The sequence below is a fragment of the Homo sapiens genome, chromosome 8, assembly GCF_000001405.40.
Source record: "Homo sapiens chromosome 8, GRCh38.p14 Primary Assembly".
NCBI lineage: Eukaryota > Metazoa > Chordata > Mammalia > Primates > Hominidae > Homo > Homo sapiens.
Genome location: NC_000008.11, coordinates 96,001,714 through 96,019,113, shown reverse-complemented (window position 1 = coordinate 96,019,113; position 17,400 = coordinate 96,001,714). Strand labels below are relative to the sequence as shown.

Here is a 17,400-nt window from a genome sequence, read left to right as displayed (position 1 = left end):
TACTTTTTTGTTAAAAACCAAGACATAAATACACACCTTAGCAAAAAAAGGGTCAGGATCATCGGTATCATTGTCTTCCACCTCCACATCTTGTCCCACTGGAAAGTCTTCAGGGAGAGTAACATGCCTGGAGTTGTCATCTCCTGTGACAACAGTGCCTTCCTGTGGAATCCCTTCTGAAGGACCTTCCTGAGGCTCTCCTTGAGAAGGTATCACTCTTTTCAGGAATATATCCATGGTGATTTATTTTTCTCACCATAAATTTGTGTGAGTAATGCATTGTGCTACAATGTTACAATAGCTACAATGTCACTAGGCAATAAGAATTTTTCAGCTCAATTCTAATCTAAAGGACCATTGTCATATATGGGGTCAATTGTTGACCAGAATGCCATTATGTGGCACACACTGTATTTTCTCTCTTTGGTATTAACTGAGCAGTATTTACTTCCTGGTCTAAAGATACTCTCTGTGTGTAATGTAAGCAAAATCCCTTCTTTATGGCGGTAAGGTTCTTATCTATTGATCAGTTAAGGCTAAAAGCTATACTCAACTTCTCCACTTCACTTCTTTATCTGAGTGAGAACTGAAACTCTCCGCTGCCCATATTATGCAGCCTCGTCTGGAAAATCCACACCATGTACCCCTTGATCCTCCAACAGGAATCCAGCCTGCTTCCTTGTAGCCCACTGTCCCTCTCAGGGAAAGCTTATAGGTTTTTCTTAGACTCAAACACATCAAGAGGTGATGTACCTAAATAACTTGAAGGAGAAATATCAAAAAAAATTCCAATACTCCATCCAGAAGGATCTGACAGACAGGGTCATCCCAGCTAGTGTTTCACGGAGCAACAGTGATTAGAGTGAGAAATGCTCAGTCTGGGAAGAGATGTGAGTGGCCCGAGGCTGATATTGCCTCAGGACTCATAGCCCTGCCAGGCTGTATGAAGTGATCTTAGCATATAAACAAGAGCAAACATATACCAGAGACAGCTAGTTGCTTATCCCAATATGTCCAATGGCACTTTTTTGTGGTATAAAATGGAATAGAGTTGCCAGGATATAACTCATCCCTGGATGTGGTTTGACAATCTACAAATACTTTTAGTCTCAGCAGGGTACCTGTCTATGTTTTTATGTATGTTTGCATGTTTGTGCTGCTCTTGCATTTGTCACTGGAAAAATTCCCTATGGATTAATGTGTCTCTGGTTCTGCACACATGCTACTTTGGAAAAAATAGAGATGAAGAGCCTTGCTTAGCTGGCTGAGACTTCTTCCTTTGAGAAGTGGGGACCAATGTTCTTGATGACTGGGTAGCTACTTACTAGCTCTAATAGGAAGAAGAGATGGAGGATATAGGCATAGGGCTGGAGGCAGGCATTTGCATGCTTAAACAAGACTTTCTGAATAGAATTCATATAATAAACAGATTTCCAACTTCCATGCCACAAAAAGTCTAGATGGGTGATATTTGGAAAGTAGGAGGATTCTCCCCCATTTTTGTCAGTATCAGCTATAGTCAGATATATATCTTACTTCTTTTTTTTTTTTTTTTTTTGAGATGGAATCTCACTCTGTCACCCAGGCTGGAGTGCAGTGGCGCGATCTCGGCTCACTGCAAGCTCCGCCCCCTGGATTCACACCATTCTCCTGCCTCAGCCTCCCCAGCAGCTGGGATTACAGGCGCCCGCCACCACGCCCAGCTAATTTTTTGTATTTTTAGGAGAGATGGAGTTTCACAGTGTTAGCCAGGATGGTCTCAGTCTCCTGACCTCGTGATCCACCCACCTCCGCCTCCCAAAGTGCTGGGATTACAGGTGTGAGCCACTGCACCCAGCCTATATCTTACTTTTATCAAAGTGGGTAACTGATATAGCTGCATTTAGACAAGTGCATCTAGAGAGAAAAGAGCTTCCATCTACTTCTACCTACCATAATATTAATAATGATCATCTATCATTATTGCTATCTTCCAGATCATGGTGATCAGGACGTTATAATATGTTTTGCACACACATCCCAGAAATGTAGTTCCTCTTTATTTTGCCCTCAGTATACATGCAATTTAAATTATCTGTAGACTGCTAACTTCTCATGTGACACAGAGTAGATGAATGGGGAGAAGAGACTGCAGAGCTTCAGGTAGAAGAAAAAAAAGCATTTCTTTCCTTCCTTTCTTTACCGTCTGATGACTTAGTGTATAAACAAGAGCAAACGTATACCAGAGACAGCTAGTTGCTTATCCCAATATCTATTCTCCCTTCCTCCTTATAAAAGAGCCTGATAGCTAGTTTTGTAGTTTGAAGGTTTGTCCCTCAAACCTCATGTTGAAATTTGATCCCCGGTGTCAGAGGTGGGGCCTAATGGGAGGTGTTTGGTCATGGGGATGGATCCCCCATGAATAGATTAGTGCCCTCCCTGGAGATTGGGGGTGAGTGATTTCTTACTCTACTAGTTCCTGGGAGAACTGGTTGCTAAAAGAAGTCTGGTACCTTCCCCCATCCCCTACTTTCTCTCTCTCCATTTGATCTCTGCACAGGCCAGCCCCCCTTCACCTTCTGCCATGAGTGGAAGGAGCCTGTGGCCCTCACCAGATGCAGATGCCCAATCCTGAACTTTTCCAGACGTCAGAACTATGTGCCAAATAAACCTCTTTTCTTTGTAAATTACCCCTTCTCAGGAGGTATTCCTCTATAGCAACACAAAAATGGACTAAGAAAGCTAGACACATTGCCCTAAGATAAAAGGCTATATTTTCAAGCCTCTTATGTTGCTAGGTATGGCCCCTGATTAGTTTCTAGCCAGCAAGATATAAGCAACGTACTGTGTGGGACTTCTAGGAAGCATCCTTAAAAGTAAGATAATGTGCTTTTATTTTCATTTCTTTTTCCATTCTAGTACCTAGAGCTCGTATGGTATGGATAAAGTGCCAGCAAACATTTTGGACCATGACGACAGTGGAAGGGGCAACTGAAAGAAGCCTAGGTCCTTGATGTAGGTTGGTTCTGGTTGACCCATTTCCCATTTTCTCTTATAAGAGAGAAAAATAATCTTGTTTAAGCCACTGTGTCTGTATTATATGTAGCCAAATCAAATGTTAACTGTTACACTGTGAACAAGGAAAGAGTGGGTGGATTGAGTTCTGGTTCTTGGCACCCAGTGTCTGACTGCAGTAATGACATTTCCCTGGAGCACATTTTTTTTTCCTTGGGCAACATACCAGCTTTATATGAGACAGTCACTCACTCTTCAGACAGGGGTCAAAGCAGCAAATAGAAAGATTTGTTGGGTTGATGTCTTAGTCTGTTTTGTGTTGCTATAAAGGAATATCTGAGGGTGGGTAATTTACTCTAATATAAAGAAAAGAAGTTCGTTTGGCTTATAGTACTACCAAAGCTACCAACTTCTTGTTGGGAGTATTTACACCATGGGAATTGGCAACTGCTAAAAATCAGTTGTTGTTGTTGTTTTTATCAGAGATCCTGCTTATCCACAGACCACTGGCTAACACTGGACTATTATCCTAAATTTTTTTTCTTTCTCATTGAACTATCAGAGAACATTCTAGGGTACAATAATTATATACAGAATTTGAGGTTAATGGGTTACAAAATGCTTTTCCTGATATTATATCACTTAATTATTGCAACAACCTGTGAAATAGGCAACATGGTTTTTGTCATCCCCTTTGTGTAAGAGAGGAGCTGAGATTTAGATTTATACCGAGTGAATGAGGAGCAAAACTGAGATTAAAAGCCAGTGCTGTTGTTTCTTATTTCTGCTAATTTCAAGGGAATTAACTCATTTTCCAGTTAATTTGGAAGAAGAAAAATAGGAGGAGGAGGAGCAGGAGAAGAAGGAGGAGGAGGAAAAATCTATTCCAAAGGAAAAGACAAATCAAAAACGATAATAATTTTTTCATCTTCAGTGTTTTTTTTTCTAAAATAGGCCTATTTGAAAAATAGTATGTAAAGAGTCAATGTAAGAGTTTAGAAAATGGCACAGTATTTTTCTTTGAATACTAGTACCAGATGTAGTTATCTGTTAAGCTGTGGTGGGAGCAAGTGTGCTATCGAGGAAAGAGTATGAGTTTTGGAATCAAATGCCAGCTGCCATTCTCAATTGGCATTCTCAATTTACTGCTGTGTGAACTTAGGCGAATCATGTAACCTTTGCATGCATCAGTTGTTTTCACCTGCTAAATGGGTCTAATAATGAACTCTTAGGGATACTATGAGGATTAAATGAGATAACTGTGTAAAGCAGCCAGGACAATGCCTGCTACATAGTGAATATTTATGAAAAGCCATGGCTCTCTTTACTTTTCGATTTTGAGTACTACCTATCATAAAGTAAATCATGGGCTGTGATTCGTGCCTACGTTTTTCTCAGAATGACCCAAAGTGTCTCTAATCTAAAACCATATATGTTATAAGTGTTCTGAAGGGTCTTGTGGGTGTCCAAATCTAGAACTCATATTACAAGTTTGGGGGAGACTGAGAATTTGGAGAATTTTGTGAGAAAGGACAGCAGTTTTTAATTTTGCTGTCTGTCTCTAGTACATTCCATGCTGGCTTTTGAGACCAAAACCAAATCTGGCAGCAGCAGGCAATCATAGAATCTTCATGTAATTCAATAATTTATCACAAAGAATATTCATTTATAAACAATGACTTGTTTTGGAATGATAGTAGCTGTCAGTTTGGAGGCCTTGTTTCTCCCCCCGCGGGACAGGAGTCTGGCTTCCCCCTTTGTTAAATCATGCAGGGTCGCTGAGTTTGGAATCTGAGGCTGAGTGCACTTTACAATGTGTTTATGTTTTGGTATGTGCATTATTTCGTTTTTACTTTGTGGTCATGAAACCCATGTTGCCAGATGCCAAAGGAGTCTCTGAATAGCCCCCTGTATGTGGAGACGAAATAGTCAAACTGAGAGCAATGATTGCACCTGAAAACCTTGAACCAGAAGATGTAGAAACGTAATCCTCTTCCATGACAGACACACAAATGTCCTGGTGCTTCTCTGTGTCATCACTTAGATTTGCTTCAGCAAAAAAGAATCCTGGATCCTTTGCTCTTTGGAAAATTTATTGCCAGAATGATTTGTACATCAGAAAGTTGTGATTATTTCTCTCTAGTGTCTTGGGAAATTCAGTGGTTTGAGTTCCAGAGAAGATCAAACTGCCTGCTGGGAATAAAGTATTCAGCATCCTATGAAACCATTTGATACCTTGCACCACTTTCACAACTTTCATGTCACTAGCAGCCAAAGGTCCCTGGTTTCTCTTACAGCTCCCCAAACTTCCATGAGAGCCTGGAAAGCTGTTAGTAAATCGAGAGGAACTTGCCCAACTCCTGGAGGCCTTCCATGTCCAGCATCAATTTTCATTGCCTGATGTGGCATTTACACTCACAAATTAGTCTTTGGAAGTTCAATCAAGTACACTCTCAATGGCCACTTACTAACTGCAGTCAACTGAGGACCTATGACATGGTCTACTGGGGGGTTGATTGGAGGTTGCATTGTGTCCCCCTGCCAAAAAACCAACAACATTTGTTGAAGTCCTAACTTTCAGGACCTATGAATATAACCTTATTTGAAAATAGTATTTGGATCTTTGAAGATGTAATCAAGCTAAGATGAGGCTATTAGGGTGGGCTGTAATCAATGTGACTTGTATCCTCACAGGAAGAGAGAAATTTGGACAAAGACACACAAAGAGAATGTTATGTGATGACAGAGGCTGAGATTAGAGTGATGTAGCTGCAAGAAATGCCAAGGATTGATGGCCACCATGAGAAGCTAGAAAGAGGATGCATGTTTCAGAGAGAGGATGGCCCTCCAGACACCTTAATTTCAGACTTCCATTCTCCAGAACTGTGAGGCAATATTTTTCTGTAGTTTTAAGCCACCCCACTTCCAGTACCAAAATCTGTGTTAGTTTTCCAGGGCTGTAGTAACAAAGTGCCACAAACTTGGTGGCTTAAGTTCTTCCTGGGTGGCTTTCATGTGTCATAAGAATCAGAAAAGCCCAATGGAATTCTGCAAATCGTGTCCTCCCATCCTTTTAACACAACTCCCCTGTCTGCTGCTCTTCCCCTAGCATCTTATAATGCTCTTCACAACTCTGTCTGCTGGCACTCTGAGTGTGACATCACCATTCCAGGCAGAGGTGCTCGGGCTCCTGGCTTCCTTGCCCTGTGTCTGATTTCATCACTCATTGGCCCTTTGCCATGGAGTAGCAATCACTTAATGGGATGAATAACTTCCCAGTGGGATGACTTCTCTATGATATTCCTTCCAAGGGTCGTGTTGCCTTAACACAGACATCATCTTAAGACTTTTCTTAGTAAGCACAGTCTCTTAAACACCAGGATGGGCTAGAGGGGAAGATAGTATCAGTAGCCCCCTTGAGGTCCTTTAAAGAACAGAGGTGGTGCTGTGTTTTAATTTCCATTTTACAAAGGAAGAGATAAGTCAAGAAAGAAAGAGCCACTTACCTAGATTATCTCTCTTAGTAGTAACTCTTCAACCATTGCTGTTTTTGCAAAAATAGACTTTGTCTTAGGAGAAGGGATTTTCCCTTGCAGTAGAGAGACCATGTGTGGTTTCTAGTAAGCAGGCCCCCTTAATAGAGGTCTTTCCTTTTGTTAAGGCACTAGATCTTATACACTGAGAAATATGTTGAAAATGAGTTGTAAATTTGTAATGATATTAAATCAGATCCTCTCATCCATTTCTTTCCTCTAAGTTGAAGAGCCTTGAGTCACCTTCATTTAGTCTGCCTGTGACCAATGAATGGTCTGGCACAGTGAGGCATGTGGTAAATTTCCACTCCTGTTTCTCCTTTAAATAGACACTTCTAGCGGTTTTTCCCCACTCTTGAAGTTATATTCAACTTAATTACAAATTGTTAGATTAAAGTAAACAATATGGGGCATTTTAGAATGAGGAAAAGGAGAGGAGAGTTGGTGGTGGCGGGGAGAGAGACAGAATGAATAAAGAGCATCTGGAAACCTAGAAGAAAGTGGTACATTTGAAACCTGATAAGCTGCTGCTGGTATTACCAGACCTCATGGTTTATAACAGCCATGCAACATTTATGGCTAAAGACATGTGCACTTCTTACACAGGCACAGCACACTCACACTCCAGGGCAAACCGGGGACATGGCACTTGGGACTTGAGCCTGTGGTTGGCTAAGCCCTGCGCCTGCACCAAGCTCTGTGTGTGGGGACATGATTGTGTTGACATCACCAGTGGACCCATTTTAAGCAGCTGCCCAATCCATATCTGTAAGATATCTGGGAAGCATGACAGATTGAAATGAAAGCAGAAGAAGGGATTGAGGAACTCCTGAAGCCCTCAGATGGATCACATTGTAGGGGGAAGCAGATGGACCAGGTGCTTTCTCAGTAATTATAACAGCTACTCAAGCCACCAATTATGGATGTTTCCCATGCATTTCGCATTGTGCCAGGAATTTGACATGTATTATCTCATTTAATTCTTACAACAACCATATGAGATGTTTTATTAATTCCTTTTGATAGATGAAGGAGCTTAGTCTTAGAGCTTAGCACACTGTCTGACACATAGTTGGCCCTTAATAAATGCATGTTGACAACATGATGAGGAGTAACAGTAATGCACTTAGGTTCACATAGTTAGCAATTGATGGAGCCACATTTACATCCACTCTGTGTGGTATTTTCAATTATGCAAACCAATGTACTCTGAATGGAATTTTAGATTGAAATACAGAACTGGAGCTAGATTTGCTCAAGCGAAATTCAGGAATCCAAGAATAGTAGCATTGAAATACTTTTTCTTGGCAGAGTAAAGGATGGAGGGCTGGTGTTGACTACAGTAATAGATCAGGGCAGTCAGGGTAGGGCTGTGAACAAGGCAGGAAGGCTTTCTAGGTCATAGTTTGTGAGGATAGACTTGGGCTTGTATAGGGGTTCTTGGGTGTAGATGAGGTAAGGGTGGGAGAGGTTCTGGAATCTTACAGGATATGAGCATAAGGAATGAATTAGTTGGGTAAGGGCAACTCTGGACCAGCCAATGCCAAGGGATCAGTGATAACAATCTTGGTTTCTTTCTTCTTTTGCTTGGAAGAAACTGCTATGTCTACATGCTAGTGTATGGTTCTGCAACCCCAGGTCTTGTTTTAGAATCATAAGGGCATTTAGGGCAACAGAAGTTTGATTCCAAAGAGGTTATATCACACTGGGCAATCTGAAGATGAGTACTTCAGAGATCGGAAACAGTTTGTGTCATCATCAGCAAACATGGCCCTCCAAGAAGCAGCTGTGGCTTGAGTCAATGGAAAAAATATCGTGAGCAGGAAAATGTGAGCCATGTGCCTGTGCCCTGCCCAGTTGCCTTCCCCATCTGAGGAATGGTCTGCCCTTTGAAATACTAGGAGTGAGGCGTTTGCACGCAGGGGCTTGAATGGTTTGTGACATGAGAATGTAGAGTTGGCCAATTCTCCAGGAAGGGAGCTAAGTTTAGAGAAGTTTTCAGGCCTGGTTTTTACCTCATTGTGTAACTGCTGCCTCATGGGAAGGGAATGAGCCCATAGGAGCAGATGTGGTCCCCCTAGGTCAAACAAAGCTCTCTGAAGCCTCCACAACCCAAAAAGGCAATGGAATGGAGCTTCAAAATTAGTTATTTCTTATTCATGGATTATACCAATGTATAATCTAAATAGTTAAAGGGCACATACCCAATCTGTTGGACAGTGTCAATGGCCTATCCAGCATCCATTCTCTCCTTTCTTCACCGTGACATCTCAGTTTTGTTCGTAGGATTTAGGGGAAGTTACCCCATCTCTGACTTCAGTGGTAAGACTCAATTAATTGAAACCAGCTAAAGAATCTAATCCACTTGTTAGTGAATGCTTCAGGAATGGGCATATGACCCAATTCTGGTCTAAGAATGGGTTACTGGAGACTTCAGGCAAGTTCTTCCTTGTCCTTAGGAGAGTAGAACAGAAGTCAGCTTCTTCTTTCAAAGGATGTGAATAAGGCGGGTGATTCCCTACCTCTTGCTGTTGGCTGCCATCTTATGGCCAGAAGGGAAGTCAGATTTAGATAAAACAAATTAATGGAAGAGAGCAGAGACTTACAGAGAAATGGAGGCCTGAATTGACCATGAGAATAACCTCTCTACCTCTGAACTTCCAGCTATTTAGCCAATATAATTCCTTGATATTTTAGCTAGTTTGAATTGGATTTCTGCTACTAGCAGTTAAAACCTTTTGGACTGATAAACTCTAGAACTGGCAATAACATGAGAGAGAGAAGAAAGTGGTAGTAGTTAAGGTGAAGTATAGGTATAAGAAGGAAGACTGGGGAAGTGAAAGAAAAGGCAAAATTTACCTGAAACAGCTGGTTGGGACATTTGGGACTCATACTCAACCTTACCCTGTATTTTTGTTTATTAATGGTTGCAGGTAAAAGGAGGAATGGCAGCTGTCAAGGTTTCTTTTGCCCAGTGGATTATGGTAAAGATTTGTCAAAATTTAAAAGCACAGCCTCTGTATCAATGTCAGATGGTAGTAAAGAACAGAGGTGATGAGTGCATGCTGGAAGAAAAAACAGATAAAATGGCCCTGCCCATTGGCCTGGAAAAATTGTGTGGTCTCTTTCCTCATCTGAATGCGTTGTATACCCTCAGTCTGCAAGGCAGATTTACACAGCTATCCAGAGACTGGAAAGTTTTAAAATGCCACTGCAGGGAGCTATTATTTATATCCTTGGCAGTAAGTGTTTTTGATTCTAAGTAGGAGTTTGAGGAGAACCGAGGTTCTCAGCGATCCATAACAATTGTCACATTTGATCTTTTGGTCCAGACTGTGACCATAGCATGTATTTAGGAGATACTGGCTGGTGGCTGGTATGGAGATGGGGTTTAGGGAACCCACAGGTCATGCCTATAGTATAAATTAAGTAGTCTCAGTACACAGATTGAACATGAAGTCATGACGTTGGCCTCATTAGCATTCCATCTAGTGCCATTTGCAGAGTGGCTGATGCTTTTCCTAATCTTATCTTAGACACAGCTGTGCCCATGGTTCACAGAACCAGTAACTCACTTTCTACACTAAACAACCAACCAATTAATCAACTGTACACATGAACACACACACACACACACACACAGACACACACACACACACACACAGAAGCAGGGAGGGAGAGAGAAGGAGAATTTATTAATGCCAGCACTGTTTCCTAATTCTGCCTTACTACAAGATCACACTGCACAGGAATGCCACTTTGGCCAGTAAAACCCTTAAATATCCTTTTCTGAGTGTGAGCTTGCTTTATATAATAATAATGGCTAAAAATCAAATCCCTCTACATTAAAAAGTGAGAAAGAGCCTCACAATTCCAACTATGACATGTACTGAGACCTTGAGTGTAGAGGTTCCCAACTGTTTCTGCCATAACATGAGTGATGGATGATGTTCACATGCAGGACGCATTCCCATTGCATCCCTATGCACTATCCTAGGGGTCCTTGAAGTAACATGAACCCTTTCGCTCCAACTCAGTAAAGCATATCAGAGAATGTGGTGGTTTCAAGTGGCATTATTATAGGGCTTACCTTGAAGCTACCACTAAGTTTTACTTAAAAGTGAATTATTCACAAACTTTAGTACTTTAACTATTATTAACTACAGATCAATTGCAACATATCCCACAACATTCAAGTAGACTCAGACCTCTTGTACTTCCAGAATAAAGTTTATTTTCCTTATTTAACCCAGTGTCTGTTTACTAAGTTAGGAGATAGTGTTGAGCTTGATTTTGAGAAATCATTTTTTTCCACACTCAACTTGTAAGCCCAAATATTTCATGTCACTCCACAAATGTAACTTTGTGTTAAATTTTCTATGTGGCTCACAACTTAATAAAAATAATGAAGAAATAGGTTAATCTGAGTCTATAAAAATAAGATTTATTAAAGAAAACTGGATTGGAAGAAGCAATTGATTTCATCATGGTGAATATTGTCAGAAGTAGCAGAATGCTGAATAACTAAGGTTTCAATGAACTTTTTTAAAAGCAAGTTTTGGGTTTGATAGAGTTTAGATGTAGATGGCCCTATCTAGCTCTTGTGGAACAGGTAGAAAAAACATTCATCATTTGACATGCCAACTCTTGTCTGGGCTGTGAGGGCAGCCTTAGGTGGCCCAGGTCTTTTTTTGTGGCTTCCAGTTTGGGAGAAGCTCTTGGTGGATTGGCATGATGCCAGTATCCAACACAGCTGAAGTAATAGCAACGATTTCTCTCACTTGTCCATGCTGAGAGTGGACTTGACCTAGTGGTCTCCTGTATACCCTCTTCCCAACTGAGAATAAAGCTGCCTGAAGTGAAGAATGCTGGGAGAACTCCCAGAACTTGAGTTCTTCCTCCTGTTTTTGAGAAGCCTTGCTTCTCATTTTTCTGCTCCTGGTTGACAGGTGGATAAAACCCAGCACAGCGGAAGTCATAGGAGGAATTCAATTCAGTCTCACACTAAGTCAGCCAGTTGATCTGACTACAGAGAAGTGAAGCCTACCCCTAGTCTGAGTTAATGTCACGAAATATGTTTAATCACCACCAGTCAGTGCACACACACATACACTCATAAACAAACACACTCACACTCATACATCATAGCAATAACAGCTCAATCAAGTCAGCACTGTGGACGAGTGGAGACATTTTGCCAAGCCCATAGTGGACTGACGCACCAAGGGATTTGGAATTTGGACCCTCCCACTACACCCCTTCAATCCTGGGGAGTGGAGCATGTAATCTCTTGGCTAAACAAGGCTTCTTAATATTCAGGGAAGAAAGGTTCAACATGGTATTATACACCAATGCAGAGCCTGTGGGACACGATAGCCTTGAGAAGAGGAGATTTGGTCAGTTACGTGTAAATGAATCAGAAACAGATGGATGATATTTTTGTTAAAATACACACGGGTTTTTAAATTAAGAGGGTGAAGAAGAGTTGCAGAGACAGCTTTGGCAAAAATGTCTTGTGCTCTGCCGGGCCCTAAGGAAATGTTCAGTGAACCTAGAGTACAGCCAAGGTCAATGTTCTATCATTAATGGATAGCATACAGCCCATGACCACACACAGGCCAGGAAATAGGAAGAATCCTAATATATATTGGCATTTATCAGCAAGATTTTCAGTTTGTGATAAAAATAAAAAGGCTCATATTATGTCATGGAACGGCATGACACGCATTCCATAAGCCAGCGGTTGACTTGGTCTTGGAATGTGAAAAAGAGGAAGGTATTTTCTATATCTCACCCCCTTCCTCTGTCACAAGTTTTCACATGGTATTAAGAAGCAATGCGTCCAGATTCTAATTTGCTCTTCTTTTTATTCTTTTGCTGCATTTCTTTACTAATTGAAAACGGACAGCAAAGATACCCCCAACCACAAATATCTAGAAGAAAATGGAGACATTTGGACAGACTGAAAAAGTTTTATGAGCTCTAATAAGGCTAATCAAGGCTCTGGAAAGAATTTTGTTTCATGGTGGACTCAACAAAACAATGAACTGGGTCCTTCAAACAATGAGCTGATTGGCCACAGCAGGAGGCCTGGGGGCCAGGGCCCTGATGAACTGCTGGTCAATTTGGGTGTTGCAACCGCTTTCCATGGTGACGCAACCGCGGTGGAACTTAGGCACCATCTGTTGCTTGTCCTTCAGGCTGCTGTCAATCCTCCATCCCTGCAAGTCCTAAATAAGCCTCCCCTGAAGTTCTCAAAGTGGAATCTAGCCCTCAGTTAATTTGTTTTCTGAGCAGTTCACTCTACAGTGGAGGCATGTTCCCCACCTCATTTCTTTATGTCAGTGTTACACAGTCCAGGCTGAGGAGTGAGGTGGGTGAGTGAAGAGCACACAGGAAGGGCTACTCTGTAGGGATAGCAAAGGAGAAAGTAGAGTTGATAGACAAAGGGGCAGTTCCCTCTGGGTTAGTGCCAACGTCAAATTCCTCTGTGCTGGGAAGAAGGGGAGTGCAATCCCTTTCCCTCACCCATCCTTCATCCCCTCAAGTGATCTCCTAGGGAATAAGAAGGTTCTACCAGCCAGTAGGTTCTGAGGACTGGCTGAGCCTGGAGGCCTCCTTTCTAAAGACAAAGCTGCTCTGAAGTGGGTGGGCTTTACCTTTGCCTGGGCAGATGCCACTGCTGTGGTGCCTCCACAGAGCCCTGGGAGGAGCTGAATTCCACCTTCAATTCCCCTCACCTCCTTTCCTAACCTGCTTCCTCTTTTTTTCCCAAGTTGCTTCCATGAGTTTTTCCTTCCCCTGACAAGCTACAGATTTCCCCAACTTCTCAGGGGCAAATATAAACTCCTCAGGCACGGGGACTCTATCTGATCTAGTTTTATAACCTTAGTTTCAGCACAATGCCTAGCACATAGTGGGCCTACCACAAATATTTGGAAACTTCTAAGACCTCGGATCTCCCAGCACCTGAAGCTTGGTGCATCAGCTGTGATGGGGGCATGAAAGCCCATCTACCTTCTCCTTCCCTTCATCCTCCTGCAGGTGTGTGTTTTCATATGCTATCACTCTTGTGTATGGCAGACCCACACACAACGGCATTTTCTAAGTCGGTTCCTCCTTACACTCTCAACACCACAAGTGTGTGAACTTGAAACATCAAAATTTAGCTGTGCCATGTCCCGTTCCTTCTATTCTGGAAAAGCAAAAAATTTAAAATCCCTTCCTGCTAATGTGGCCTGACTGCTAATGGATTACTTAGATAACATATTTCTGTTACAGATAATGCCCTAATTGAAGGAATGACTCCAGTGGAGGGAACTCCAGGCACCACATTTGTATGTCCGGGCCAGCTTTCCACGGCCTTCCTTTGGTAGGGAAGTGGTATGAAGCATCGGAAGGGCATGGTTTCAGACAGATCTGGGTTTGTTCCCAGGTTCTCCCACTTATTCGCTGTCAAATATAGGCAATTTACAGAAATTCCCAGAGCCCATTGGAAACCAATACTCATCCTTGGGGTTATTGGAAGGATGAAACAAAAATGATGTATGTAAATCTAGTACCGTGCCAGGCACACAGTAAACCCAAATTCCTTTCTTTCAGTTATTCATTTGCCTCAACAGTAAATTATTACTAAAAGCCTACCTTTGCCAGGCACTCTGACTGCACTACAAAGATGCAGTGTTTCCCGTTGGCATTAGAGGTCTGGGATTCTCCACTTCTCAAAGAGCCCCCAACTTACCTGAGTAATCTCTTGTAACCAGATGCTGTTTGGCTTCTGAAGTTGAGCGAGTTCTCTGTACAGATACACATATTTCTGTGATGAGTTCTCATCTGCACACCAGGGATCTCGGAGAATCTACCGATGAGGAGAGGATTTGGGGGCTCACCTCTCCCCCTGGGATTGCTGGCTATGCATCTTCACAGCTGTGGGTCCAGCTTCCTAGCGGAGGGAAGCAGAACACCCTGAGCTTCCCTTTCCCAAAAGAAAGAGCCCCACAGTTGTCTCTCCCCTCAGCATCCTCAGGCACCAGCTCGGAATTGCCTTAGGAGCGTGGGAGCGGGAGAGGGCGGAGCAGAGGCCATGAAGCTGGTCTCAGAGCCTGTCCCCTGGAGTGTGGATCTCTGCTGACCGGCCCGCTGCCGCGCTAATAAATATCAAACCCTTCAACGGGAAAATAAATTATCCCCAACTGCTAGGCAAAACAGTCTTGATAAATTGTCGTTTTAGCCAACAGTGTTTAAAGTAAAATCAGTAAAGTGTGAGTAATGATGGCTAAGTCAAAAGTCCTGTACTAAACACAATGGTCCGAGGAGAGCGGGGGCAGCGTTCAGAGAAAAGCGAATGCAAGTTTAACTAAAACAACTCTTGTTCAGAGAGAAAAAAAAATTAAAAAAGGACTTGGGATTTATTATCCTATTAGCTTTTTTTCTGTAGGAGCAGCTCTCAGGGTGTCCCGGGCATAAAGTCAAAATTTCCATTTACCAGAGATGTTTAGAAAACATGCTCTTAAAAGTGAACTACCAAGTTTTTGACTGGACAACATAAATAAGGTTAAATTCTTTCAGTATAATGAAGAATCCTGAAAGAGCTACAGTTCTTAAAGGGGCTGTCTAGGAAGAATTTCTGGGTGAGGAAAATCTAGAGGATTTTTTTCTTAAAAAAAAAAAAAAGATGAAATAAAAAGCACAATGATCAGTTGCTTATGTGACCCTGTATTTCAATATTTATACATTATTTTATATATGTACAGTCAAACCTTACTGATTCTGACTGAATTAGAAAAGAATCTGAATGATGAGAAGTTGAGGGTGATACATTAAATGAATGGGCTTTCATGTTTTACAGTCATGATAAATAACCATAGATAACACATATTACTAAGAACTTAATGGGTTCTAGGACCTCTGCAGAACATTTTACATGACTTCAACATTAAGTAACTTTCCTAGGGTCACATAAGTGACAAGCGGTGTAGCCAGTATTCAAACTCAGTTCTGCTTGTTTCCAAATCTGCACTCTTGACCATTATACATTTGGCCTCTATAGTCAACCTATAAATTTCATTGTTTTTATAATCTAGCACATAGGACTACTAAAAATGGTAAACAAATATGCCAAATGGGTATCCTATGGTTCATATTTTAACGTAACAGAAATTTTATTAGTAATGTAAATATTGTCATATTAACGGTTGATCAGCAAGGGTGCAAATAGCTAAAGTGCTAGTTGCTTAAACTGGTTTATGTTTAAGGACACAATGGCCTTGCACTGTCAATTATGTCACAGATACTATTACTTTTAATTAGTTAAGAATTTGAGGCAGCTTAGTACATATATACAGTAGAGAAAGGACACGTCCCCTTCTGATCTGAAGTCAGTCCCTCCACCTGGACTCTTGAGTCCATCCCCTCCAACTTTCTCAAAGGGGACTCTTATCCATAGATCACTTCATGTCTTTTCTTCATCTTTGCCTTTTCTCTCGGTAGCGGTCAATGATTGCTTTTTGTTTGTCCAACATTCTTTGATTTTGGGAACATTTCTCCTCCACTGCATATTAATAAGGTGGGGCTGTCAATCAAAAGACTCTGTCTTCTCTGCCACAGGATTTGGCACATGATACAGGCTGGACAGTAAGTGCATCCTATATCTATGGACACCATGGTGAAGCCCAGGTGGCCATAGATTCCACGCATGACTGGAGTCTTTTTTAAAAAGATTTGCATAAATGTTTATAGTGAGAGAGGAGAGAGGTCTCTTTCTTTCAGATATTGTGACTTCAAAGCCTGTAAATCTACAGCTGATTATAGCTATCTGTAAATATACATGGATAGATTCTAATAATAAGGCCAATGCAGAGGGAATCTGAGAAATTGGAGAGGGGGAGCCCTGAAAATATTTTTTGAACAACGCCTTAGATTGAATGAACTCTTCTTTTCTGATGACCATAGGTGATAATTTAATGAACTGTTATGCTAGATTATTATCCCAGAATACTAATTAAATTTTCACAGCCTTCATCCCAATAAGGTCAGTTTTCCAATCCTAAAGTCCCTCCATTTCTGTGGGGGCCTGTGTAAGTCACTCTTTGCTACCAATTTCTATACTAGTCCAGGTTCTTAGTTGTAAAAGTTTTAGCAGAACTTGATTTACTGTTCAGGTTTTTAGTTGCTAAATTTAGCAGAAGTGCATTTACGGAAAGGCCTTTGGATAGTCCACAAAATTAATCAAAAGTTAAAACACTAAACTAGACAATGGGCAAGGATCAAGAGAAACGTGGCCACAGAGAGCAGCCAATGCCTTCTTCCAGGAAGAGTCTGACTCGGGAGTACTCACCAGCACTGTGGTTGGGCATTTGTTGCCTCTGTCACTTCTCTGTAGTTGGACAAATATCTTCTAATTATCCCTGCTTTATTATGTCAACTCTTGTCAGAATCAAAGTCCTGGAGGGCAGCATCCTGTTGTTTCAGCCTAAGTCATGCACTGACTCCCGTTCCTATTCAGTAACTTTGTGTTTATTTTCATAAGGCATGTTGGTATATAATTTTCTTTCATTGTAATGTTTTTATTTTTTGCTATCAGGGTAATGCTGGCCTCATAAAAGGAGTTGGAGAATATTCTTTCCTTTTCTATTCTCTGAAAGAATTAATGTAACTGATATTACTAGTTCCAAATGTGTGGTAGAATTTGCCAGTGAAGCTATTTGGGCTTGAAGGTATCATTCTGGGAAGGCTTTTAAATAACAAATCCAATCATTTAAATTATAGAGGACTCTTCAGATTTTTTATTTCTTTTTGTGTCAGTTTTGGTAATCAGTGTCATTCAATAAATCTATTTTACCCAATTGTTGAGTTAATTGGCATAAAGTTCACA

The 17,400-nt window shown here is 41.4% G+C and overlaps 1 long non-coding RNA gene across 1 annotated transcript in view; it reads right to left on the bottom strand.

Annotated features, from left to right (window-relative positions):
• Window positions 1–14,653, bottom strand: part of LOC124901983 (uncharacterized) — a 28,625-nt gene extending 13,972 nt beyond the window's left edge. The window contains exons 1-2 of the long non-coding RNA XR_007061016.1: window positions 14,269–14,653; window positions 37–200 (exon numbers count right to left, since the gene is read on the bottom strand). This is a non-coding gene — a long non-coding RNA (uncharacterized LOC124901983). The remainder of the gene's footprint in view (window positions 1–36; window positions 201–14,268) is intronic.
• Window positions 14,654–17,400: the final 2,747 nt, after the last annotated feature.